The 22565-nt window shown below is 39.1% G+C and overlaps 1 protein-coding gene across 5 annotated transcripts in view; it reads left to right on the plus strand.

The window, feature by feature from the left end:
* The window catches only part of METAP2 (methionyl aminopeptidase 2), a 41688-nt gene extending 19375 nt beyond the window's left edge, over positions 1–22313 (plus strand). For 4 of the 5 annotated variants that reach the window (NM_006838.4, NM_001317182.2, NM_001330246.2 and 1 more), the window contains 7 exons: positions 530–691; positions 1431–1612; positions 2478–2572; positions 10539–10635; positions 18369–18472; positions 19275–19390; positions 20126–22313. In NM_006838.4, the coding sequence (NP_006829.1) occupies positions 530–691; positions 1431–1612; positions 2478–2572; positions 10539–10635; positions 18369–18472; positions 19275–19390; positions 20126–20378 (1009 nt within the window). In that variant the 3' untranslated portion in view covers positions 20379–22313. The remainder of the gene's footprint in view (positions 1–529; positions 692–1430; positions 1613–2477; positions 2573–10538; positions 10636–18368; positions 18473–19274; positions 19391–20125) is intronic. The other variant, NR_133673.2, reaches the window with a different exon arrangement.

Consider the following 22565-nt stretch of genomic DNA (forward strand, 5'->3'; position numbering starts at 1 on the left):
CAAGGAAGAATACCTCTTATATTTATGTATACAATTAGGAAAACCCAGCACACGCATGTAATATGTGTTTTGAGGAAGTATATGCAGATTTCCAAGTCAGTTTCTTGGGTTAGTAGTTACTCTGTTGGCAAAATTAAATGCAAATTGTTGTTGTGCTCCTTTGAAGTGTCTAAAGTATATATGACCTCAAGTGGAAGGATGACTTTTTCCTACTTACTCTGATTCTAGGACTCTTCAGACTTTTCTGATTGTTTTATTATCTTTTTGTGTTGTCAGGGTATTAGTTCCTCTGACTATGAATGAAATCTCACATGAGGGTTTTTTTCCCTCCCTTAGAGTCTTAAAAAGTTTTTAATTTCATTTGAGTTGGTTGCAAGTGTTTGGCTTTTTGTATTTCAGAAACTTTATTGACATAAACTGAATATGTACTGTATTTTTATTTGAACTGTCTTGTTACTTAGTATAGTTGTCAGCTTTTATGCTTGTTCTGCTGTTTTATCACTAATAGTATTCTATGCCCACTCTAAAGGCGAACAGCTGCTTGGAGAACTACAAGTGAAGAAAAGAAAGCATTAGATCAGGCAAGTGAAGAGATTTGGAATGATTTTCGAGAAGCTGCAGAAGCACATCGACAAGTTAGAAAATACGTAATGAGCTGGATCAAGCCTGGGATGACAATGATAGAAATCTGGTAAAAGGAATACTTCTTCGTAAGAACATGATAAAAAATGTTTTATTAAGTACTAACTCTCCAATTATAATGTTTGGCTTTCATTACCACTTTGCTAAATCTTTAAGTAAAGGTTGTAGAAATGCCTTCTAGATTATTTTAGTGTCACTATGAGAAAACCATGAAGAGGAGTACACATTGGCACCTCAGCCACCCTTTTGTGTGCACATGTAGTCATTACTGATTGTTATTTTCTATCTGGAAATCTGTTATTTTGCTATCTAACAAGTCATACTAAGAAATAAGAAAGTATTGGAGCAATTGCCCAAATACAGAACATGATGATAATACAGTAACAAAACCAATTCAAGTAATTATTCTCTAGTTTTTCCTTTTGATAAATGGTTAGTATAACATGTAATTCTCTGATTCCTACAATTTAAAAAATATACAACATGAACAAATAAGATCAGCATTTAAATTGGTCTAAGTTAGACTCTTATTTTCTAGTAAATTTAGTTAAAAGTGGATTGTGTTTCTCTGACTTTCTAGCAGAATCAAATTCCTTGTCTTCTAAAGATATGCTATTTTCATAGCATCAGAGAACTGTTATTTATTTATATTCAGAAAGTGCTCAGATCATTCCCAGAAGGTATTTAAGGTTTTTAGTAAACTTTCTGGACTTGATGAACTATATGGTATTAATATATAAAAGTAAGAATGTAAAAGTAAACAAGTTCCCTTTGCTTTTTTGTTTTAGTGAAAAGTTGGAAGACTGTTCACGCAAGTTAATAAAAGAGAATGGATTAAATGCAGGCCTGGCATTTCCTACTGGATGTTCTCTCAATAATTGTGCTGCCCATTATACTCCCAATGCCGGTGACACAACAGTATTACAGTATGATGACATCTGTAAAATAGACTTTGGAACACATATAAGTGGTAAATTCTTGCAGAAAATTCCTACCCCAGCCTCCTCCTGAAAAACTAGTTTTTGTCTCTGTTAAATGGAGTGATAAATACTGAACTCCCAAATTTTGTTCTTGCTTCCTCATTTCATTAGGAAAGGTGTGTTGAGGCAGATTTTTAAAAAAATTTTAGTGCACTTATAGGAGAGAGAGGCAGTTGTGACATTTACTTGAAAGCATACTACTAAGTAGAATAAAATGAAAACTGTTGGGTAGTTGAGGTTTATTACCCTTTGTATCAAGGCATGAAAGACATTATCCTACCTTTCTTTAGGTCATTGTTTCATATCTCTTTTATTCAAATAATAACATTTATTTAAAATACTTAAGTTTATCAGCCTTAATATACATGTTTGCTTTTCTGAATTCTCTCCAAAACCTGGTTAGGTAAGCACCTTGTTATCTTACTTACAAGTGAGAAAGCAAGCTTAGAATAAATACTTGCCTAAGGTTTCACTACCTTGGAAAAGTAAAAGTATATTCAGAGCCCTGTATACTTTCTCTGCCCTGCGTTACTATTTCTCATTTCCCTAGTCTTTTCTTGTATTCATTTTGTTTCTGTTTATATGTTTGTATAACTGCCAGGGTGAGCACTGAACTGGTGCTGTCTTGGGGTAATATATACTAACCTTGTAATTCTTTCTATTCTGAATCCTTTATATACTTCTACATTTTGTCTCTTTGATTATGAATGATCTTTGGGTATTTGGAGTGCAGCCTTCATTTGAGCCTTCATTCTATTTTTCTGTTAAACTAGCAAGATTAATAGATTAAATGCTGTAAAGTAGATAAATTGACTAGCTGATAAGTAAAATTAAAAGAGGAATTTTCTCTTTCAGGTAGGATTATTGACTGTGCTTTTACTGTCACTTTTAATCCCAAATATGATACGTTATTAAAAGCTGTAAAAGATGCTACTAACACTGGAATAAAGGTATGTGAACTGTAAGCACCATTTCATTCCCAATATTTTGAGCACTTTAAGGTCTTTTAAACACTTAACAGCATTTAAGCACTTTTAAGGCCTGTTTAAGGGCTTTGGGTAATTAAGAGGAATAAAATTGATCCATTTCCCTTATGGTTTTAAGCGGGTAAGTGTATGATTGTGTACCAAAGGTTGTTTTTTTGTTTGTTTGTTTGTTTCCCTTGAACTTTGCTAAAATTTATTAAAACAGAGTTTGGATCTATTTTTGCCTGTCAGTTGGCAGTGGTTTTTTTGTGGTTCTTTTTTAGAACAATTTTAGGTTCATAATAAAATTGAGCAGAAAGTACAGAGATTTCCCTTATACCCACCCCTCCCCAATTTCCTCCATTGTCAGCATCCCCACCACATAGGTATATTTGTTAAAATCATTTGAACTAGCATTGACCACATCACAATTATTCAAAGTTCATAGTTAACATTAGGGTTCATTCTTAGTAATATACATAAGGGGTTTGACAAATATATAATGACACGCATCTACCATTATAGTATCATACAGAGTATTTTCATAGCCACCAAAATCTTCTGTGCTCAACTGATTCATCCCTCTCTGTCCACCAAACTCTGGTACAGCCCAGCTTTTCCCCACCCACTCAAATTTTTTTTTTTTTTGGAGGGAGGTGCAGTTAAAATAGACATTACATAAAATTTACCATATTAACTTTTTCTTTCTTTTTTTTTTTTTTTTTTTTTGAGATGGAGTCTTACTCTGTTGCCCAGGCTGGAGTGCAGTGGCACGATCTCGACTCACTGCATCTTCTGCCTCCTGGTCTCAAGTGATACTCCTGCCTCAGCCTCCCGAGTTGCTGGGATTACAGGCACGCACAACCACTCCCGGCTGATTTTTATGTTTCTAGTAGAGATGGGGTTTCACCATGCTGGCCAGGCTGGTCTCAAACTCCTGATCTCAAGTGATCCTCCCGCCTTGGCCTCCCAAAGTGCTGGGATTACAGGCGTGATTCACCGCGCCTGGCCATTTTTAAGTATGTTGTTCATTGGTATTAAGTACATTCATAATATTGTGCAGCCATTATCACCATTCTTCTCTGTTTACTCTTCATGTTATAAAACTGAAACTCTATACTCATTAAACAGTAACTCCCATTTTCCTCTTCTCCCCCTACCCTGGCAACCACCATTCTACTATATATGATTTTTACTGCTGTAAGTACCTCATATAGTGTTTGTTGTTTTGTGACTGGTTTATTTCACTTAGCACAATGTACTCAAGGTTCACCTATGTTGTAGCATGTGTCAGAATTTACTTCCTTAAGGCTAAATAATCTATTGTGTGTATATACCACATTTTTGCTTATCCATTCATCCACTGATAGACACTTGGATTGCTCCGATGTTTTAGCTATTGTGAATATTGCTGCTATGAATACGGGTGTATAGATACCTCTTCAAGGTCTGTTTTCAATTCTTGGGTATATACCCAGAAGTGGATTTGGGAATCATCTGGTAATTATATCTTTTTAAACTTTTTGAGTATCTTCTCTACTACTTTCCACAGTGGCTGTACCATTTTCATTCCCACCAACAGTATGCAAGGAAAGGCTCCAATTTTTCCATTTCCTTGCCAACACTATTTTCTGGGTAGTTTTTGTTTGTTTTTTGTTTTTAATCTTTGGAGAAATGTCTATTCAAGTTTTTTGCCCATTTTTATTTATTTATTTTTTAATTAAAAAATGTAGGCCAGATGTGGTGGCTCATGCCTGTAATCCCAGCACTTTGAGAGGCCAAGGCGGGTGGATCACGAAGTCAGGAGATGGAGACCATCCTGGCTAACATGGTGAAACCCCGTCTCTACTAAAAATACCAAAAAAAAAAAATAGCTGGGTGTGGTGGCGGGCGCCTGTGGTCCCAGCTACTGAGGAGGCTGAGGCAGGAGAATGGCGTGAACCTGGGAGGCGGAGCTTGCAGTGAGCCGAGATCGCCCCACTGCACTCCAGCCTGGGCGACTGAGCGAGACTCCATCTCAAAAAAAAAAAAAAACAGTAGAGATTGGGGGTGTTGCTTTGTTGCCCAGGCTGATCTTGAATTCCTGAGCTCAAGCTGCACCCTCACCTTGTCCTCCCAAAGTGCTGGGATTACAGGCATGAGCCACCCTGCCCAGCTCTTTGCCTGCTTTTTAATTGAGTCGTTTGTTGTTGAGTTTTAGGAATTCTGTATAGATTCTGGATGTTAATCCTGTATCAGATATATTATTTGAAAATCCTTTTTCTCATATTGTGGGTTACCTTTTTACTCCGGATATTGTGTTTTGAAGCATAAAATGTTGTCATGAAGTCCAGTTTGTCTATTTTTTCTTTTGTTGCCTGTGCCTTTGGTGTCATATCCAGTAAATCATTGCTAAATTTAATGTCATGAAGCTTTTACTCCGTTTCCTTTTAAGGTATTTATAGTTTCAGGTCTTCAACTTAGGTCTTTGATCCATTTTGAGTTAATTTTTTATATGGTGTTAAGTAAGGGTCCACATTCATTCTTTTGCATGTGAATGTCCAGTTTTCCCAGCACCATTTGTTAAGACTGTTCTTTTGCTTTTCAATGGTTTTGACACCCTTGTCAAAGCTCATCTGGGTCAGGCACAGTGCCTCATGCCTATAATCTCAGCCCTTTTGGAGTCCGAGGTGGGAGGATCGTTTGAGCTCAGTAGTTAAAGTCTAGCCTGGGTAAGATAGCAAGACCCCAACTCTACCAAAAATTAAACAAATTAGCCAGGTGTGATGGTGCACCCTTGTGGTCCCAGCTACTCAGGAGGCTCTGGTGGGAGGATCACGTGAGCCCAGGGAGGTTGAGGCCTCAGTGAGACAAGATTACGCCACTGCGTTCCAGCCTGGGTAAAAAAGCAAGACCCTGTCCCAAAAAAAAAAAAAGAAATCATTTGTTTTTGTAAGTGAGGGTTTATTTCTGGGCTGTTCATTTTATTGTATTGGTTTATATGTCTGTCTTTATGTCAATACCACATTGGGTTTTTTTGGTTTGTTTTGGTTTTGGTTTTAGTTTTGAGACAGGGTCTTGCTCTGTCACCCAAGCTGGAGCGCAGTGGTGTGATCTTGGCTCGCTGCAACCTGTACTTCCTGGGTTTAAGCAGTTCTTCTACTTCATCCTCATAAGTAGTTGGAACTACAGGCTCATGCCACCGTACCCATCAATTTTGTTTGTTTTTTATAGAGACAAGTCTCACTGTGTTGCTCAGGTTGGTCTTGAACTTCTGGCCTCAAGCAGTCCTCCTGCCTCAGCCTCCCAGAGTGCTGGGATTACAGGCATGAACTATTGTGTCTGATGTCCACACTGTTTTGATTACTGTAGCTTTGTTGTAAGTTTTGAAATTGAGAAGTGTAAATTCTCCATCTTTGTTCTTTTTCAAAATTGTTTGTCTATCTAGGATGTCTTGGGATTCCATACGAATTTAGGATTTTTTTTTTCTGCAAAAAACACCAAATGGATTTTGATAGGGATTGTGTTGAATGTGTAGATGGCTTCAGATGGTATTGACATTTTAATAATACTAAGTCTTCTAATTCATAGACATGAGATGTTGTGTTAGTTCATTTTCACACTGCTATAAAGAAATACCTGAGACTGGGTAATTCATAATGGAAAGAAGTTTAATTATCCACAGTTCCACATCAGTAGGGAGGCCTCAGGAAACTTAGAATCAAGGCAAAAGGCAAAGGGAAAGCAAAGACCTTCTTCACATGGCAGCAGGAGAGAGAACTGCAAGCAGGGGAAGTGCCAGATGTTTATAAAACTATCAGGTCTCATGAGAACTTCCTATCATGAGAACAACATGGGGGAACCACCCCCATGATCCTATCACCTCCCTCTCTCAGCACATGGGGATTACAATTCGAGAGGAGATTTGGGTGGGGACACAGAGTCAAACCGTATCAGATGTGTTTCCATTTATGTCTTTAATTTATTTCAGCAATGTTTTATAGTATTCATTGTACATGTGTTTTAATGTGTTTCACCTTCTTGGGGTTAATTCCTAAGTTTTTTTTTTTTAGTTATTGTTAATGGAATTGTTTTTGTAATTTCCTTTTCAGATTGTTCATTGTTAGTATGTAGAAATGCAACTGATTTTTATGTTTTGACTTTGTATCTTGTACTTGGTTGAATTAATTTATTCTGACACTTCTTTTGTGTGGAATCTTTAGGGTTTTCCCTAGGTAAGATCATATAATCTGTGAACAGAGATAGTTTTACTTCCATCCCAATTTAGATGCCTTTTTATTTTTCTTGCCTGATTGTTCTGACCTGTGTTGAGTAAAAACGGCAAAAGTGGATATCCTTCCTTGACTTGTTTGTGATCTTAGAGGAAAGTTTTCCATCTTTGACCATTGAGTATGATGTTAGCTGTAGGTTTTTCATAGATGGCTTTTATTACGTTGAGGTGGTTGACTTCTGTTCTTAATTTGTTGAGCCTTTCATCATGAAAGGGTGTTGAATTTTGTCATGCTTTTTCTGCATCAATTCAGACAGTCATATGGTTATTTTTCTTCATTCTGTTAATGTGTATTATTAGATTGATCTGTTTTTCTTATGTTGAACCATCTTTGGAATAAATCCCACTAAGTCATGGTGTGTATTCCTTTTAATATGCAGTCGAACTTGGTTTGTTAATATTTTGTTAAGGATTTTGCATCAGTGTTCATTAGAATATTGGCCTATAGTTTTCTTATAGTGTCTTTGCCTCGCTTTGGTATCAGAGTAATGCTGGTTTCATGTAATGACTTAGAAAGTATTCTCTTGAGGTTTTTAGAAAAGTTTGAGGAGGTATTAGTTCTTTAAATGTTTGGTAGAATTAACCAGTGGAAGCCATCAGGTTCAAAGTTTTCCTTTGTTGGGATTTTTTTTTTTTTTTTTTTTTTTTGAGACAGGTCTCCCTTGTTACCCAGGCTGGAGTACAGTGGTATGAACACAGTTCACTGCAGCCTTGACCTACTGGGCTCAAGCAGACTCCTGCCTCAGCTCCCAAGTAGCCGGGACCACAGGCGTGTACCACTACACCCAGCTAATTTAAACAATAAAATAATATTTTAAATTTTTTGTAGATACAGGGTCTTGCTGTCTTGCCCAGGCTGGTCTGGAACTCCTGGTCACAAGCCATCCTCCCACCTTGGCTTCCCAAAGTGTTGAGATTACAGGCATGAGCCACTGTGTCCGACCTAATAATTCTTTTAAATGCATTAGTCTCTTGAATTATGTAAAAAATAGAATATGGAATTATAAACCAAAGTTAATAATAATACTAGCTTTTAGAATAAAAATAATTTTGGCCGCGCGCGGTGGCTCATGCCTGTAATCCCAGCACTTGGGAGGCTGAGGCGGGCGGATCACGAGGTCAAGAGATTGAGACTGTTCTGGCCAACGTGGTGAAACCCCGTCTCTACTAAAAGTACAAAAATTAGCTAGGCTTAGTGGCATGCGCCTGTAGTCCCAGCTACTCAGGAGGCTGAGGCAGGAGAATGGCTTGTACCCAGGAGATGGAGGTTGCAGTCAGCTGAGATTGCGCCACTGCACTCCAGCCTGGCGACAGAGCAAAACTCCGTTTCAAAAAGAAAAAAAAAAAAAGTAAATATATTAGTTCCTTAAGTCATGTGGAAAACAAATAGTGTTTGCAGACTATTGTTAGAATAATACTAGTTGTTACAATTGGCCTTTTTTTTTTTACTTTATTGAGATTTTAAAAAAATTCATATGGCTTCAAGTTACTACATAGTATCCTTTGCAGGGCATTTCTTGAGCACTTCTTGCAGGCCCGGTCTAGTAGTAATGAACTCCATCAGCTTTCGTCTGGGAATCTTAATTTCCCCCTCACTTTTTTTTTAATATAATTTTTTTTTTTTTTTTTTCCAAATTGAAACAGGGTTTTGCTCTGTTGCCCAGGCTGGAGCGCAGTGGTATGATCATGGCTCACTGCATCCTCGACCTCCTGGGCTCAGGAAATCCTCCCACCTCAGTTCTCCAAGTAGCTGGGACTATAGGCGTGTGCCACAATACCTTGCTAATTTTTAAAACTTTTTTGTAGAGATGGGGGTCTCACTTTGTTGGCCAGGCTGGTCTTGAGCTCCTGGGTTCAAGTGATCCTCCCACCTTGGCCTTCCAGCATGCTGGGATTACAGACATGAGCCACCACGCCTAGCCTGATTTCTTTCTCACTTTTGAAGGACAGTTTTCCCAGATAGGATTCATGGGTGACAGCTTTTTTTCTTTTAGTTAGCACTTTGAATATGTTGCACTGCTGCCTTCTAGCCTTCAAAGTTTCTAGTTTGAAATGTGCTTGAAGTCTAATTGAGCATCCCTTTTATATAGTGAATCACTTCTTTCTTGTTGCTTTCAGGTTTCCTTCTTTGTCCTTTAGAAAGTTTGATTATCATTTTGTGTGTGTGTGTGGGGGGGTTTCTTTGAGTTCATCTTTTTTTGAGTTCTTTGAACTTCTTGGATGCTATATTCTTGTATTTCATCAAATTTGGGGAGTTTCCAGTCATTACTTTTTCAATTATTGTTTACCTTTCTACTTCTTCTGAAAATTTCCATAATGCATATATTGGTATACTTGATATACAGGTCCCTGAGGTTCTGTTCACTTTAATCTTTTTTATTCTTAGACTTGGTGATTTCCCTTGTCCTTATCTTCAGGTTTGCTGGTTCTTTTTTTTGCCTGCTCAAATACTTTTGAATTCTCCTTGTGAATTTTTCATTTCAGTTACTGTACTTTTCAGCTCCAGAAATTTCTTTTTCTTTTAGGTTTTCTATTTCTTTTTTGATATTTTCATTTTGTTCATACATTTTTTTTTTTTTTGGCTCTCTCAATGTCTTCCTTTAATTTTTTAAGTATCTTTAGAAGAGTTGTTTTGAAGGCTTTGTGTAGTGGTAGATCTGCCATCAGGTGTTTTTTCAGGGATAGTTTCTGTCGATTTATTATTTTCCTTTGATGGGTGTTCTTATTTCCTTGTATGCCTTGTGACTTTATGTTGAACACTGCCTATTTCAATGTGATATGGTAATTCTGAAAATCAGATATTCCCCCTTCCCCAGCATTTCTTTCAGATTTTTTGTGTTGGTTTTTTTGTTTTTCATTCTTGTAACCAATCTCTGCCAAGGATCCACCTGAGGTGTGAACTTCAGGTTTTCTCAGGTCTTTCCCTGGGCATGTGTGCTCACTTTTAGAATTTTCTCATATATGCAGTTGTTTTTGAATGACCTAGTCTTTAATATCTGGGCCCCAGAGGGGGAGAACAAGAAAAATGAGTATGGACGGGAGGCCATGCTGAGTGTGAGGGAGTGGAGGGGAAAGGGGTGCTCACCATTTAAATCCTCTGAAAGTCACTTCAGCCACAGGGGTGTGTAAGCGCTGAGGTGTGCAACTATGAGGGGAGATGCAACAACAGTGGCCACTTCTGTATCTGCGCCTATGTGACCAGAAGCAGCAACCAGGGATCAAAGCACAGATCCCTGATGTTTAGGACATAGACTGTTCTGCCCACTCCCATACCCCCAAGCTGTGTGCGTGTTGCTCCAGGAACACGAGCCAACCATGAGTTTATGGAACGGTATGTAGCAGTGCTGCTACTGTGCTGAGAGCTAAAATGGATGGAAATAACCACACTTGACCATCCCATTATTCCCCTGGAAGTTGCAAGGCTTCAGTAGACTCCAGAGTTCCCAAGTACTTACATTAGACAGATTTTGTCAGTGCACTTGTTGTCTATTTAGGGAGGCAGATTCCTGGTGCTTAATACTTCACTATCCTCCCATAATCCTCTGCAAAGTATTTTAAACAGGAAGTTACAATGTACAAAGCAGTTTTTCTGATTGTCCCTTGTTTTTAAATGTTACAAAATTAAGTTGCTATGAAAATTTTGCACTTTGAATAATAAAGCATATGTTACTCTTTTTTTAGTGTGCTGGAATTGATGTTCGTCTGTGTGATGTTGGTGAGGCCATCCAAGAAGTTATGGAGTCCTATGAAGTTGAAATAGATGGGAAGACATATCAAGGTATGTTCTTTTAAAATATATCTTATTTTGAAATTGATTTTACAAACTATTGTCGAGTGTTTTCTTTGGGTCAGCTGCTTCATGTTTCTATCTTGGTAATTCAAGGAAAGAAGACGGGAAATGACCTGCTTAGAGCATGGTAGGAGTAGTGTTGTAACTAACTGGAAACTATTGCCAAGCCACTCTGTTAGCTGATAAGAAAACACCTGAGGAAATATCCTAGGGCAGCCAAAATGTGCAGCCAGTTTTCTGTGACTAGTCAAATCAAGGCTGAGAGAAGCCAGGTCTCTTGCCATTGATGACTTCTCATTGTGATTTTTTTTGTTGTTGTTTTTTGTTTTGTTTGTTTTTTAAAGACAGGGTCTCGTTCCGTCATCCAGGCTGGAGCGCAGTGGTGCAACCAGAGCTCACTGTAGTTTCAACCTCCCAGGCTTAGGCTTAAGCGATCCTCCCACCTTAGCCCTCCCGGGTAGTTGGGACTACAGGTGTGGGCCACCATGCCCGGCTGATTTTTAATTTTTTTGTAGAGACGAAGTCTCACTGTGTTGCTCAGTCTGATTTTGAACTACTGAGCTCAAGCGATCCTCCCACCTCAGCCTCCCAAAGTGCAGGGATAACAGGTGTGAGCCACTGCTCCTAGCCTGTGGTTTTTTGGAATCACATTCAGAATTTGGAGGCCAGTTCCTTCTGTATCACTTTAATTCCCAAGTTCCTTTGCCTTCTAGTCTTTACCAGTGACTACCTCAAGTATATACTCCCAGAGTCCCCTGTGCTTTCTGGTGCTGTACGTTAACCTCTGTCAGTCCAGTCCTCCTCTGGCTCCCAGGTCTGTCTGACCATCCCCCAGCCACCATCCTCCTCCCTCATCTGTGCTCATTATTCTCTGTGATCCTGCTGTAATAACTTCCTTATAGACTATTTTCTATATTTCCTTTAACAGAATTCTGTCTCTCTTTGTAGACTGTGAGTGGAGACTCTCATGTTGTTTTCTTGCCTCTTAGTAAATTCACACCATTCAGCATTCTTTGCATTTCCTGTTGCCCATTATGTGTTTCTACCAAGAGCAGAAGTGATTCTTCCTCTGGAACCTGACCGTGCCTTCTATATAGACAGTTACCACCAACGTAACAGTCCTCTTTCATGTCTAAATACTGAAATTTATTACCAGACTTAAACTTTTTTTTGAGACAGTCTCTCGCTCTGTTGCTCAGGCTGGGATGCAATGATGCAATCTCGGCTCACTGCAACCTTTGCCTCCTGGGTTCAAGCGATTCTGCCTCAGCCTCCTCATTAGCTGGGATTACAGGTGCCCACCACCACGCCCGGCCAAATTTTTTTTTTTGAGATGGAGTCTTGCTCTGTCACCCAGGCTGGAGTGCAGTGGCACGATCTCGGCTCACTGCAACCTTTGCCTCCCAGGTTCGAGCCATTCAAGCCATTCTCCTACCTCAGCCTCCTGAGTAGCTGAGATTACAGACGTGTGCCACCATAGTTGGCTGCTTTTTGTATTTTTAGTAGAGGCGGGGTTTTGTCATGTTGGCCAGGCTGGTCTCGAACTCCAGACCTCAGGTGATCCGCCCACCTCGGCCTCCCGAAGTGCTGGGATTACAGGCATGAGCCACCGTGCCCAACTCTTTTTTTAGACAGAGTCTGCCAGACGTGGTGGCTCACGCCTGTAATCCCAAAACTTTGGGAGGCCAAAGTGGGTGGGTCACCTGAGGTCAGGAGTTTGAGACCAGCCTGGCCAACATGGTAAAACCCCGTCTCTACTAAATACAAAAAAAAAATAGCCAGGCGTGATGGCACACACCTGTAATCTCAGCTACTCGGGAGGCTGAGGCAGGAGAATCACTTGAAGCCAGGAGGCAGAGGTTGCAGTGAGTCAAGATTGCACCATTGCACTCCAGCCTGGGCGACAGAGTGAGACTTCGTCTGGGGAAAAAAATAAAAAAGAGTCTTCCTCTGTTGTCCAGGCTGGAGTGCAGTGGCACGGTTGCAGCCCAACCCCCTTGCTCAAGCACTCGGTGGAGTGCGCTCAGCTTCCCGAGTAGCTGGGACTACAGATGTACAGTATCATACCTGGCTAATTTTTGTATTTTTTAAAAAATATTTATTTTTATTTCTAATATATATGCTTTTTTTTTTTTTTTTTTGAGACGCAATCTCACTCTGTCGCCCAGGCTAGAGTGCAGTGGCGCAATCTTGGTTCACGGCAACCTCCGCTTCCCGGGTTCAAGCGATTCTTCTGCCTCAGCCTCTCAAGTAGCTGGGATTACAGGCATGCGCCACTACACCCAGCTAATTTATTTTTGTATTTTTAGTAGAGACGGGGTTTCACTATATTTGCCAGGATGGTCTCAATCTCTTGACCTCATGATCCGCCCGCCTCGGCTTCCCACAGTGCTGGGATTACAGGCATGAGTCACCGTGCCCAGCCTATATATGTTTTTTGATATCAAGATATTCTTCCATTTCATTGTTCTTCAAGGTTTCATTTCCCTTCCTCCTGCCTAGACCCTGTGTTGGCAGCTTTAATTCTTCTCTCATCTATATCTTTAACTTCTTTGTTATTTGATTTTCAGATATTCTCTTTAAGATCTCTAATCCTGTGAACACAAGTGCAAAGCAGAATACTTATTTATTTATTTATTTATTTATTTATTTATTGAGACAGAGTCTTACTCGTTCTGTCACCCAGGCTGGAGAGCAGTGGTGCAGTCTTGGATCACTATAAGCTCAGCCTCCCGAGTAGTTGGGATTACGGGTGTGTGTCATCATGCTGGCTAATTTTTGGACTTTTTTTTTTAGTGGAGATGGGGCTTCATCATGTTGGCCAGATCAGGCGATCTGCCCACCTTGGCCTCCTAAAGTGCTGGGATTACAGGCGTGAGCCACTGTACCCGGCCCAGAATACTCTTGATGTTACTCACACTTAGGTAGGAGGTGTGGGATAATGAAGAAAACACACTTTGGGGTTCAGGCAGTTTTTACTTGGAGTCTTAGATAAATCTGTAACCTGAATACCCAAGTTTCTTGACTGTAGTAGGGTTAATGGTATCTAGTTTATTTTGAGAAATGTAAATTGTGTGATAGTGCCTGGAATTTATTAAGTATTCAACAAATATTTGTCATTCTGTCCCCTTCTCACCCCAATTCTGGGATTAGTGCCACAAATACAGTGCTTATTCAGGCTCTTCCAAATCGCTCTTCGCATCCAGGAAATTACTTACCTGATGAGAAAAATAGCCAAACAAGCCTAACACTCTTTAACATTTTTTCCACGTTGCATAAAGAACATGGCAAAATACCAGGATTGGCAAATGCCGGGATTTGCCCATCTTCTCCCTATTCTTATGTTTTTATCTCTGTTCTTCAAGGAAGAAATATTCTGTCTTCTATACAGTATTTTCTTTAAAATTTTTTTAAATTGTTAGCTCAAACACTGCGTTAAGGATCTTCTTTTCAGTGTTAATCCTCCACCTCCTTTGAGATACCACCTTATTACGCCTTTTCTCTACATACTCAGCCTTTCCCCTAGTGGCTCCTCTCAGTGTGAAAGCACATGTGGAGGAGAATAAAAATCATAGCATTAGATAACCTTCCATGATTCTCATGATTTTTTTTTTTTTTTTGAGAGAGACTTTTGCTCTTGTTGCCCAGGCTGGAGTACAATGGTGCGCGATCTCGGCTCATCACAACCTCCGCCTCCCAGGTTCAAGCAGTTCTCCTGCCTCAGCCTCCCGAGTAGCTGGGATTACATGCGCCACCACGCCCAGCAATTTTTTTTTTTTTTTTTTTTTTAGTAGATGTGGTGTTTCTCCATGTTGGTCAGGCGGTCTTGAACTCCCAACCTTAGGTGATCTGCCTGCCTCGGCCTCCCAAAGTCTGGGATTACAGGCGTGAGGCACCGCACCCAGCCGATTCACATATTCTACTTTTGGCTTTTACTTACTGTTATGTGAAATTTTTACAATTTATTTTTACATTAAGACATGATTTAAATTTACTATGTTCCTTAGTAAGGGTAAACATACTTTTCTTTGTATCCTAGCCAAAGCCATAAGGAAAGCAAAAGATTTTTAAAGGCTAGAATTTAGAAGATCTCATTTCCAGTGTGCTTTTCTTTGGAAAATGTTTTGTCCAGTTCTTTAAATAGCTTAGAACCAGTTTTAGGAGTTGCTGCTTCTATTAACACTTTATGAGCTCCCCAGAAGCAAGATTCTTAACCCAAAGAAAGCTGAGATTAAGAGCATAAATGCCAAGTTAATTTGAGGAATTTATGGGACTAGAACATGGGCCTTCTGATTTCTAGGTTCACTGCTACAAATGAACAGAATCTATTTCCAAATTCGTGAGTCTTATGTCAACTTGGAGTACACACTGTAGCAGTCTGCTTGGGGGACTACCTCTAGAGTTAGTTATTTCTCTTTTTTGAGAATTTGCTGAAATTTTTGTAAATTCCAACACTAGCCAACATATACCAATGTCTTCTCTTTTTCCTTTCATTTTCTCCTAATTCTACAACTTGTTTGGTATGTGGTCTGCCTTTCAAGGTATGGTAGGTGACAGTTTGACTTAATGTTTTAGTCACTGCATAATAATTCCAGCCTGCAACATCGGGATTTTTAATATCTACCCTTTTACCTCTTCCATTAAGCTAGTGCAGCATTTTTGGTTTCATTATTTCAGTACCCCTCTTTTGATCCCTGTTATTTTATTGATCAGTGTTCTTAGTTTAAGGCAACAATCCATTTTTATAGTTTAAGCAGAGAGGATGTGGAAAAATCATGATAATAGGGAGATGAAGAAATGGATTCCGGGTTGAACTTTCCAGAACAAATCAAAACACATAGCACAAACGGGCCATCAAAGGAGTATCTTAATCTCCTTTGATCAGGAAGCAATAGAATTAAAAAGTGATTGTTAACAAATTACTGGTCCCAGAATTAGCCTGTGCTGTTACAACCTGCATAAGTAAAAAATGAATTCCCCTGTACCCTCATTTTTCTGTGTAACTAACATATTAGGTTGGTATGGCTAAGAAACTTTCTTTAAAAAAATTGATTGGCTTGTAAGGGTCAGTCTGCAAAGTTTGAATTTTAAAATAAGCTTGTTACTTGTCAACCTAAATAACAAACAGAGGCTCTCTAAAAGAAAATGATGTTTGGGAATAGAGCATTGCAGTGGGAATGCCATAGTAAACTTGTGCATATTCAGGGAGGTAAGGAAGACAGAGGTTTTTGAAGACGAAAATGAGGATGACATAATTGTTTTGAAATAATTATCCTTGGCTCCAAAGATTAATAACAAAAGTGACGCCAGTCGGAGGTTGGGCAGGCAGTTGTTGGGCAGATGTCCTTGCAGAAGTATTTTTTTGTGTAAGGTTGCAGTGGGCTTTGTGCAAGGTTATGGTTTTCATAGTCATTTTCATTATCAGGTGTATAAGCATGAGAACCCTCTCTTCATGGCTTTCCCTAGCTCTGTTTGAGTCTGACAACTTTGACACATTTATATAAGAAGGTTGTTGTGAAGAGTGAATTGATTTGTTTTTCTTGCTGTCCCACTAAGTTTGTAACATACTTGTTCATTGCTTCAGACTACTTAACTCTGCTCTAGAAGAAAGGTAGCTCATACTGAGGATTCTAGAGTTATAGAGTTAAATTTTTTTAAGACCTCCCCCCCAACCTTTTTTTTTTTTTTTTTTTGAGACTCTGTCGCCCAGACTGGAGTACAGTGGTGCAGTTTCATTTCACTGCAGTCTCTGCCTCCCGGGTTCAAGTGACTCTCCTGCCTCAGCCTCCCAAATAGCTGGGACTACAGGTGTGTCACCACGCCCAGCTAATTTTTATATTTTTAGTAGAGATGGGGTTTCACTGTGTTGGCCAGACTGGTCTTGAACTCCTGACCTCAAGTCATCCACCTGCCTTGGCCTCCCAGAGTGTTGGGATTACAGGCGTGAGCCACTGCACCTGGCCGTTTTTAGCCCTTTTTTAAAATTTGAAATATTAACACAAAATGCACAAAGCATAAAAACTCAGCTTCTCAATTGCAGAAGCTACGTAACCTCACTCCTCAAGAAATTGAATATTGCCAGTATTCCAGAAGACGCTCAGTCTCATTTTCTTAGTCCGTTTTGTGCTGCTACAGCAGAATACCTGAGACTAGGTAATTTATAAAGAACAGAAATTGATTTCTCACAGTGTTGGAGGCTGGGAAGATTGAGGGACTGGCATCTGGTGAAGGTCTTCTTGCTGCATCATCCTATGGCATTAGGCAGAAGGGCAATGAGAAGTTTGAGAGAGAGAGCAAGAAATGGTCAAACTTGTCCTTTACAGGGAACCCACTCCTGAGATAATGGCTTGAATTCATTGATGAGAGTGGTGCCTCCATGGCCCAAACTCCTCCTGTTAGGTCCCACCTCCCAACACCATCACACTGGGGATGAAATTCCCAATACATGACCTTTGGGGGATACATTCAAACCATAGCAGCAATACACTGCTTTCCAATTACAGCAGCCTGCCTCTAGTGAGCCACCATCTTGGCTTGTGGGGTCAGTTTGCCAGGTCTTAGAGAAATAGTAATGATGTCTGAATTTTAAAATATATTTAGCTTATCAGCACTGCAAGTATGAAAGGATTTTCATTTGCTTTTCTTTATGTCTTTACTACCTAATTATGCATCCCTAAACTAGTTTTATTGCCTAATTTTGAACTATTATATATATGTGGAATTGTACAGTATATATGTAATTGTGCCTTTTTCTGCTCATTTTGTCAGTTTTAAAACAACTGGAATAAAAAAGCTAGACGTTTTATTCCAGTTGTTAAATGTATTCCTAGCTTTTTGTTTTGATTGTTGAATGTTATTCCCTCGTGAATATGCCACAATTTGTCTATTCTGTCCTTGCTGTCATGACAGTGGGATGTTTAGATTTTCTTTCTTCTTTCTTACTTCTATTTCTTAATTACTGTGTCTCAGCCACATAGGTTTTCTTTTTGAACATTTGAAATGTTGATATAAAGTTTTATAATACTGTCATATTAACAGTATCTTTCACATTATCTTTTGGTCTGTAACAATACAAATATGTATTTTTTATGTTTCTAATAATTTGTGTACATGGCATTTTATTTGTTGTTAACAGTACCTCCTTATACCTCCTTAGATGACCTCCCTTGTGCCCTTAATCCTGTATTTCTTTCTTCCATCCTCCCTTCTAGCACCGTTTTTTTTTTTTTTTTTTTTTTTTGAGACGGAGTTGCTTTCGCCCAGGCTGAAGTGCAGTGATGTGATCTTGGCTCACGGCAACCTCCGCTTCCCGGGTTCAAGTGATTCTCCTGCCTCAGCCTCCTGAGTAGCTGGAATTACAGGCCCCCACCACCACACCCAGCGAATTTTTGTATTTGTAGTAGAGACAGGGTTTCGCCATGTTGGTCAGGCTGGTCTCGAACTCCTGACCTCAGGTGATCCGCTTGCCTCGGCCTCCCAGAGTGCTGGGATTACAGGCATGAGCCACTGCACCTGGCCTACTTCTAGTATTAATAACACTGCAACTACTTTTTATATTCCACTAGATTCCAGTTTATATTAAACTACCTTAATGTAAGGTTATTTAGTAAAGCCATACCTGGTTTTTGAATAAATGCTTGAACTCTGTACCAAAATGTAAGAGATCTGTTTTTGCTTCTTGAGATCCTGAATGACTTTTATTTCCCTATTTTTTATAACAGTGAAACCAATCCGTAATCTAAATGGACATTCAATTGGGCAATATAGAATACATGCTGGAAAAACAGTGCCGATTGTGAAAGGAGGGGAGGCAACAAGAATGGAGGTATGTGTGTCACTAACATTTTACTTCCATGGAAGACATTTTTTTCTTCCAAGCAGAAGGTCATGGTAGTTAAATATATGGTTATACTGACCAGAATTAGCTGCTTATCATCCATATTCACCCTGCCAGGAATTGGGCCATTTGAATTTGCAAATTGTGTATAGTCAGCACTAAATCAGTTGTGGAAATTGGGGCTGTGAAAGGGTTGTTTATTCAACATTTAATGAATATTTATTGAGCATTCTCAGGTGCCAGTCTCTTTATAGTAGGCTCTAGGGGTAGAGCTGTGAACATAATTCATAGGGGGAAGCAGAAAGACCAAAAAGTGCTAAGGAGATAAAGCAGGGCAAGGCTAGATAAGGACCGCCAGGGGCTATTTCATGTTGCTGCTTAATCAGGTAGAGACTTCAAGAGATGGTAATTGTAGGCCAGGCTCGGTAGCTCAGGCCTGTTAATCCCAGCACTTTGAGACACCAAGGCAGGCAGATCACCTGAGTGAGGTCAGGAGTTTGAGACCATCCTGGCCAACATGGTGGAACCTTGTATCTACTAAAAATACAAAAATTAGCCAGGCATGGTGGCACGTGCCTGTAGTCCCACCTACTCGGGAGGCTGAGGCAGGAGAATCGCTTGAACCTGGAAAGTGGAGGTTGCAGTGAGCCAAGATCTCACCACTGCACTCCAGCCTGGCAGCAGAGAGAGACTCTGTCTCAAAAAGAGAGAGAGAGAAAGAGAGATGGTAATTGTGATTCGTTCTGAATTTTTCTTCTTTCTCTCCCCTTGACCCTTATTTATTTTTCAGGAAGGAGAAGTATATGCAATTGAAACCTTTGGTAGTACAGGAAAAGGTGTTGTTCATGATGATATGGAATGTTCACATTACATGAAAAATTTTGATGTTGGACATGTGCCAATAAGGTGAGAGACGAGACGATTGATTTTATGTGGCTAATTAGCATCTCTTCTGAGTTAACAGCATTTCTAAAAAATGTGGCATACATACAAAATAGTATATTCATGAATGTAGAGTTCTGTAGCCCAACAATAAGAAAAAAAAATAGCCTGTTAAACATTTTAACTGAGATAAAAATTACACACACACACACACACACACACACACACACACACACACACAAGTGCTCTCTTCAAGTCCGGTTTCTGATAATCATAAATGTCAGAGATTATTTTGCTAGCATTCCTAGGTTTTTGCTTTAATATTTTTCCATTGGTAAACTTCCATTTACAGCGTCTTTCAATTTACATTGAAATTTTTTAACATTTGAAGATGATTGAAATCTGCATTTACATCTTTTATATGCAGGTCTTTGAGCTTGCTGCACACAAAAGGAAATTCACATCATAATACCCTGTAGTAGGTCTCTAGTGGGGAATATAACACACACACACGCACACGCGCGCGCACGTAGACACGTAAACATGATAAGATGGCCTCCAGCTGGTGTCCTATTCAGCTGCCATCTATAATTAGGTATGGGCTATTATACATTCTGGCTTTTGATTGTTGAAAGAGCAACAATAAAAGTTTTTGGACTTCAACTACTAGGACACAGCTAAGGTCTGGGCTTTTCTTAATGAGGGAAATCAGTTCGTAACTCTTTTGCCAACAGTTAATTTTGGATTTTCTCCTCTTAGGCTTCCAAGAACAAAACACTTGTTAAATGTCATCAATGAAAACTTTGGAACCCTTGCCTTCTGCCGCAGATGGCTGGATCGCTTGGGAGAAAGTAAATACTTGATGGCTCTGAAGAATCTGTGTGACTTGGGCATTGTAGATCCATATCCACCATTATGTGACATTAAAGGATCATATACAGCGCAATTTGAACATACCATCCTGTTGCGTCCAACATGTAAAGAAGTTGTCAGCAGAGGAGATGACTATTAAACTTAGTCCAAAGCCACCTCAACACCTTTATTTTCTGAGCTTTGTTGGAAAACATGATACCAGAATTAATTTGCCACATGTTGTCTGTTTTAACAGTGGACCCATGTAATACTTTTATCCATGTTTAAAAAAGAAGGAATTTGGACAAAGGCAAACCGTCTAATGTAATTAACCAACGAAAAAGCTTTCCGGACTTTTAAATGCTAACTGTTTTTCCCCTTCCTGTCTAGGAAAATGCTATAAAGCTCAAATTAGTTAGGAATGACTTATACGTTTTGTTTTGAATACCTAAGAGATACTTTTTGGATATTTATATTGCCATATTCTTACTTGAATGCTTTGAATGACTACATCCAGTTCTGCACCTATACCCTCTGGTGTTGCTTTTTAACCTTCCTGGAATCCATTTTCTAAAAAATAAAGACATTTTCAGATCTGAGAGCTACATCTCAATGTCTGTGGTTATAATTCTGGACAGGATAAATAGCTAAACTTAATGTAGGCAAATGCAGAGACATTTATCTGAAATGTAGACCTCTACACTGAGACTTTTCTGGCATAGTGGCTAAAACAAGATCTACACATGCATAAAAAGGGACAATCACCTTTTCTTCATAAATATACAGCTTTAGGAATATTTCACCATTCTTTGTAGGACATAGTAGTCCTTGTCTTTTTTTCTCCTGACATTGGAAAGATGTGCTAATTGAAACTTGACTTAGTAGGAACATTGTGCCAACTCAAAACCTTGATTTAGTAAAAATCTCAATGTTTAGATCCTTTGTCCAGTGGTGGTGTTTATCAGGGAATGTATTCAGCTTGCTCAGAAAACCAAAAGGGTATTAAAGCCACAAAAGCAAAGAAGAAAAAAAAAAACTTCCCATGTTTGGATCTTGTTCTAGTTAGAAAAATTAAGTTGAAATTCTTGGACTTTTTCATTCATGAGGCAAATGCTGTAATACCTTCCCCTTTGACAGGTTTGGATTCTTAACATTACTAGTGGTATTTCAGGAAGTGACGTTACAGTTACTTTCCTTATAGCGGCTAAGTGTATTAAGTTGAATGTAACGATGGTAATATTAATTTGTTTGAACTGAGGCCCACTACTGATTCTTTGACAAATTGAATTCTTATATTTAAATAATTTTATGGGAATGTTCCATCATAATTTCTAAATCATTTATATATCAAGGTAGCCTTAATTTGTATATGTTTCAGTACAATGAGATTTTATTGCCTCTGGGATGCTGTTTAGTTTGTATTTTGTTGAACGTTTTTATCCTAGGAAGAGAAACCTATGACTTGTGTACCTAGATCATCTGTTACATTAAAAAGCTGCTCTTTCAGCATTAGAGCTATAAATGAATGTTACCTTGTCGGGAAACAATCTAGGTTTTAGCTGTATGAGCTATGTTTATTATGGTGCTAATGTTCAGTAGCCACATTTGACTAATGTCTCCATTCTCTGTGATGCTGTGGCTAGCAGCAGAGCTCGCCAGTTCATGCCTGGACATACTGTCAGGGCTGGGCCCTCCAGCTAGCTCCTTTGGGGTTGAGTCCGTATCTTTTTGATGTGGAAGTATAAAGCAAGTATCTTGATTTCTAAACCCAGCAATTTTAGAATTGACCTTTATGAGTGAAGACTTTTGGAGCTTTTAAAGACCTTGGCAGTCATGATCTCAAACCAATTAGGAGCTCCAAGCTCCCTTCCCAGGTAACTGTTGGGAGCAATGGCATCACTGTATGCCCTTGTAATGGCTGGAAGGGACATGATCTTGTAAGTAGGAAAGCTGTAACTAAAAATTGTATTGTTTGCTTATTAGCCATGTATCTCTTAAAATTTTGTTATGTTTACAACGATGTACCTTATTGGCAACAAGTTATTAGTTTGATGTTTAACAATAGTGCCTTTAGTAAATTATTTTACAACTAAAACATGTTGTTTTTTGTTAGATCAACTTAGCAGAATGTAGACGTCCATGTTGAGATTTAAGATAAATAGTAAGAAATCTAAGTTTCTGTTTATTGTTTAGGTTTTAATTTTATTGTTGGTATTTTGAGACATTTTTCACACTAAAATTTAGTGGAAAGTACTACAGATTTCCCAGACCCCCCCCCAATAATATCCCCCTTTTCCAAGCCTCCCCCCATAGGTGTTTGTTAGTTTTAAGGGATTAAAAAGTAAAG

Source organism: Homo sapiens, chromosome 12, assembly GCF_000001405.40.
Source record: "Homo sapiens chromosome 12, GRCh38.p14 Primary Assembly".
In the NCBI taxonomy this organism is placed as follows: Eukaryota; Metazoa; Chordata; class Mammalia; order Primates; family Hominidae; genus Homo; species Homo sapiens.